We start from the raw sequence: 4,884 nt of genomic DNA on the forward strand, positions 1-4,884 counted from the left end.
AGAATTTCTGACATTTATTTTAGTACAAAAATGTTCCTAAATAGCAAATAAATTTCTGTTATTATTTTGTTAGAATTCTTTTGGTGTACCTATTTGCTTCTCCCTCAAAAGTGCACGTCTGCAAGAATACTTGTGCAGGCAGTCCAGGGTGGACAGAAAGGTCTGTGGGAGAAAAAAATGTAAAGATTGAACCTGAATATGGATTTTGAAATTGATGTGCTTTACCAAGAAATTTCAAGAGGAGAGAATGTATGCCTTTACAGAACCAATAAAATGATTATGGTATTTATTTTCCTTTGCCAATTATTGATTCATTAGTTCATATTAATAGATATCTTAATTTAAAAGTATTGGGGAGTTCTCCAATTATACCCTAAATGATCAAAGCATAATACATGCTGATATGGTTTGGCTGTGTCTCCACCCAGATCTCATCTTAAATTTTAGTTCTCATGATCCCCACATGTCATGGGAGGGACCCCATGGGAGGTAATTGAATCATGGGGGCGGTTATCCCCATGCTGTTCTTGTGATAGTGAGTTCTCATGAGATCTGATGGTTGTATAAGGATCTTTTCCTCCTTTGCTCAACACTTTCTCTCCTGCTGCCATGTAAAGAAAGATGTGTTTGCTTACCCTTCTGCCATGATTGTAAGTTTCCTGAGGCCTCCCAAGCCATGCAAAACTGTGAGCCAATTAAACTTCTTTTCTTTATAAATTACCCAGTTTCAGGTATTTCTTCATAGCAGTGTGAGAGCAGACTAATACACTAAATTGGTACCACAGAGAGTGGGGTGCTTCTTTAAGGATACACTTTGGAACTCGGTAATATGCAGAGGTGTAATGGTTTGGAGGGTGCTGAAGAAGATGGGAAAATATGGGAAAGTCTGGACCTTTGTAGAGACTTATTGAATGATTTTGACCAAAATGCTGATAGTGATATGGACAAAGAAGTCCAGGCTGAGGTAGTCTCAGGTGGAGATAAGGAACTTTTTGGAAACTGGAGTGAAGATGACTCTTGCTATGCATTAGCAAAGAGACTGGTGTCATTTTTCCCCTTCCCTAGAGATCTATGGAACTCTGAACTTGAGAGAGATGCTTTAGAATATCTGGCATAAGGAATTTCTAAGTGGTAAAGCATTCAAGAGGAAGCAGAACATAAAAGTTTGAAAAATTTGCAGCCTAACAATGCTATTGGAAAGAAAAACCCATGTTCTGGGGAGAAATTGAAGCAGGCTGCATAAATTTGCATAAGTAATGAGCAGCCAAATGTTAATCACCAAGACAATGGGGAAAATGTCTCCAGGGTACATCAGAGACCTTCATGGCAGCTCCTCCCATCATTGATTCAGAGGCCAAGGAGGGAAAAATGGTTTCCTGGGCTCAGCTCAGGGCCCCCTGCTCTGTGCAGTCTTGGGACATGGTGCCCTGTGTCCCAGCTGTTTCAGCGCCAGCCATGGCTAAAAGGGGCCAAGATACACCTCAGACCATTGCTTCAGAGGGTAAAAGCCCCAAGCCTCAGGGGTGTTTACATGGTTTCGGGTCTGCAGGTGCACAGAAGTTAAGAATTGAGGTTTGGGAGCCTCCACCTAGATTTCAGAGGATGTTTGGAAAAGCCTGGATGTCCAGGCAGAAGTTTACTACAGGGGTGGAGCCCTCATGGAGAACCTCTGCTAGGGCAGTGCAGGAGGGAAATGTGAGGTTGGAGCCCCCACACAGCATCCCCCCTGGGGAACTGCCCAGTGGAGCTGTGAGAAGAGGGCCACCGTCCTCCAGACCCCAGAATGGTACATCCACTGACAGCTTGCACTGTGCACCTGGAAAAGCTGCAGGCACTCAACACCAGCCCAAGAAAGCAGCTGTGATGGGGGCTGTATCCTGCAAAGCCACAGGGGCAGAGCTGCCTAAGGCTGTGGGAGCCCACCTCTTGCATCAGCATGACCTGGATGTGAGACATGGAGTCAAAGGAGGTCATTTTGGAAATTTAAGATTTAATGATTGCCCTATTGGATTTCAGACTTGCATTGGGCCTGAAGTCCCTTTTTTTTGGCCAATTTCTTCTCTTGGAAAAGGTGTATTTACCTAATGCCTGTATCCCCGTTGTATCTAGCAAGTATAATGACTAACTTGCTTTTAATTTTTCAGGATCATAGACATAAGGGACTTGCCTTGTCTTGGATGAGACTTTGGACTTGGATATTTGGGTTAATGCTGGAAGGAGCTAAGACTTTGGGGGACTGTTGGAAAGGCATCATTATGTTTTGAAATGTGAGGTCATGAGATTTAGAAGGGGCTAGGAGTGGAATGATGTGGTTTGGCTGTGTCCCCCACCAAATCTCATCTTGAATTATAGTTCCCATAATCCCCAGATGTCCTGGGAGGGACCTGGTGGGAGGTAATTAAATCATGGAGGCAGTTACCCCCATGCTGTTCTTGTGATAGTGAATGGATTCTCACAAGATCTGATGGTTTTATAAGGGGCTTTTCTGGCTTTGCTTGGCATTTCTCTCTCCTGCCACCTTGTGAAGAAGAATATATTTGCTTTCTCTTCCACCATTATTGTAAGTTTCCTGAGGCCTCCCCAGCCATGCAGAACTGTGAGTCAATTAAATCCCTCTCCTTTATAAATTAACCAGTCATGGACAGTTCTTTATAGCAGCATGAGAACAGACCAATACACAAGCCTATGTGCATTGTGGACACTGCTCTTACTCTGCACAGGTCTCTGGCTCCCACCTGAAAGTTCTGTTCACACCTCCCTTCATTACTATTTGCTTTTGCTTCCAAAGATCCTTTGCCTGGGACTTGTTTTGGAGACCTGCTCTTGGACTACTAGAACCTCCTGGAGCTACTTTGTGGACACAAAGGAAGCAGAAGTACCTGCAATTTTATATTCACATGAGCAACCCAGAGCCAGTGACTAACTTGTCAAAGAGTGTGAAAACCCAGCTCCTTGCCCAGTCTTGGGACAAACTCTCAGATATCACTTATACTCCAGCATCTGCCTGTAGGATCTAGCCTAACCTTTCCTGCCTGGGACTCAGCCTAAAATTTTCCTTACTCTTGAATGTTTTAATCTTTCCATTTCTTTTTTCCTTCCTCTCTTGCTCATTTTTTTCCTGGGAGCACTTCCTGAATAACTCACTTGCCCAAGAATCTTTGTTTTACTGTTTGCTTCTAAAGAATTGGCCTAAAATGTATACTACATGATTTGCAAATGTTAAATTCTGATTTTAGCCTCTGTATCAATTTTCTAAAGGGGTCTATATGTTTCTTCTGGAGGCTCTGGGGAGAATTAGTTCCTTGGGGTTTCCAAGTACATTCCAAGTATCTCCCAACCTCTGCTTCCATCAGCAAATCTCTCCTGCCTCTGCCTTGCAAGGATCTTTGTGGTTACGTTGTGTCCACCCTGATAATTCAGGCTGATCTCCTCATCCTGAAGCCTTTAATTAAAGCAAATCTGCAAGTCCCTTTTGCTACATAAGATAACATGTTCATAGGTTCTGGGGATTAAAATGTAGAAATTTGATGGGGTGGACTATTCTCTTTACCATAGCAACTCAGAAAGATGACCTTCTCTGAAATTTTATTAATCTCCTGTTTGTTACAGTCTTCTGTTACTTATACTCATAAGTGAAATTGACCTATCAGAGGTATTTTTGTGGGTCAGAGTTTTGTATAATATTGTTGTTAGTATAACATCATTTACTGAGAAAATTACTTTTTTCTTTGGTCTGAAACTTTTTACATTGCAAACAATGATCAATGTGAAAAAACATGTATTTATAAAATCAAAATGAGTGTACAATGCTTGAAAGCTGTTCTTAAGATTAAAAAAAAAAAAAACCCCACAACACAAGTTTTCCAATTATTTTCAGTATTTTTTCCCCATGAAAGTTTTTATTTCTTCTGTGCCAGTTCAAAGTCATTTGCATAGCATTTTATAGGATGTCATCTATTTTCTTTCAAAATATACTGCATGCTCCTATTTTCTAATATAATGCTGTCTTTCTTTCCTTCTTGATTGTAAAGTGCATGGAATCTTATTTGTTACTATGCCTTTAAATGTCCTAGCTCTTAAATTTATAAATTCTGTTATTTACACATTTTCTCTTGCAAATGTTTTGAATGTAATATATTTAGGTTTGCTCATTTTTCCTTTGCTAGAATTGAATATTTAGCATATATTTTCTATTAAATGATAACTTGTTTTAGTTTTTGAAAATGAGATTATTAGTTTCATGCTGCCCTTCAACATTTCATTCAACTATATTTTGCTTTATTTGGAATAGCTGGAGAATTTTATAGATATACCATATATAACTGATCTCTTATTGCTACACATCGATATACTGTTCAAGTTTTTTGTATCAGAAAAAGCACTATAATAAACAAATTTATATTCACTTCTGTATGCTTTTATTTAAATTTCCTTAGAGAATTTTGACAAAAATCTTGAAGGAGAAATTGTCTGGGTGTTTTGGGGAAATTGTCTCTTCCTCTTTCCTAAACACAAAGATTTTACTTCCCATTTTAGGGCCTCTGATCAGCTCCCCACCTCCAGTACGGCCCCACAACTCAGCAAGTTTTCTTTACAGACATGTGTTTGTGGCCTCTTGGATTCCCAGTGCCCCACTCCATCACTGTGTGAGTGGATTTTTGTTGGGTAACATTTCTCCAGCAGAGACTCTCTGTGTTGGCCAAGTGTGGCCCTTACCTGTGCCAGAATCAGCAGATGCCCTAGGGAAGACCTGGCTAGAGAATGTCAGTTTCTCTTAGAAAGACATCCCTCTCTGAAATTTTAATTCATTTGGTCTTTGTTGCTTATTCATTCTGTCAAATAACACTGATTGAGCATCTACTCTGTGCCAGAGACTAGGAAGTT

The 4,884-nt window shown here is 40.4% G+C and overlaps 1 annotated feature.

Annotated features, from left to right (window-relative positions):
* Positions 477-718: a silencer, noted in NCBI's record as "fragment chr7:48777243-48777484 (GRCh37/hg19 assembly coordinates)". NCBI's record gives its function as "represses an EF-1alpha promoter that drives an FKBP-Casp9 reporter gene in an ReSE screen in K562 erythroleukemia cells {active_cell/tissue: K562}" and the evidence as "EXISTENCE:reporter gene assay evidence [ECO:0000049][PMID:32094911]".

This window comes from Homo sapiens, chromosome 7, assembly GCF_000001405.40.
Source record: "Homo sapiens chromosome 7, GRCh38.p14 Primary Assembly".
Classification (NCBI taxonomy): domain Eukaryota; kingdom Metazoa; phylum Chordata; class Mammalia; order Primates; family Hominidae; genus Homo; species Homo sapiens.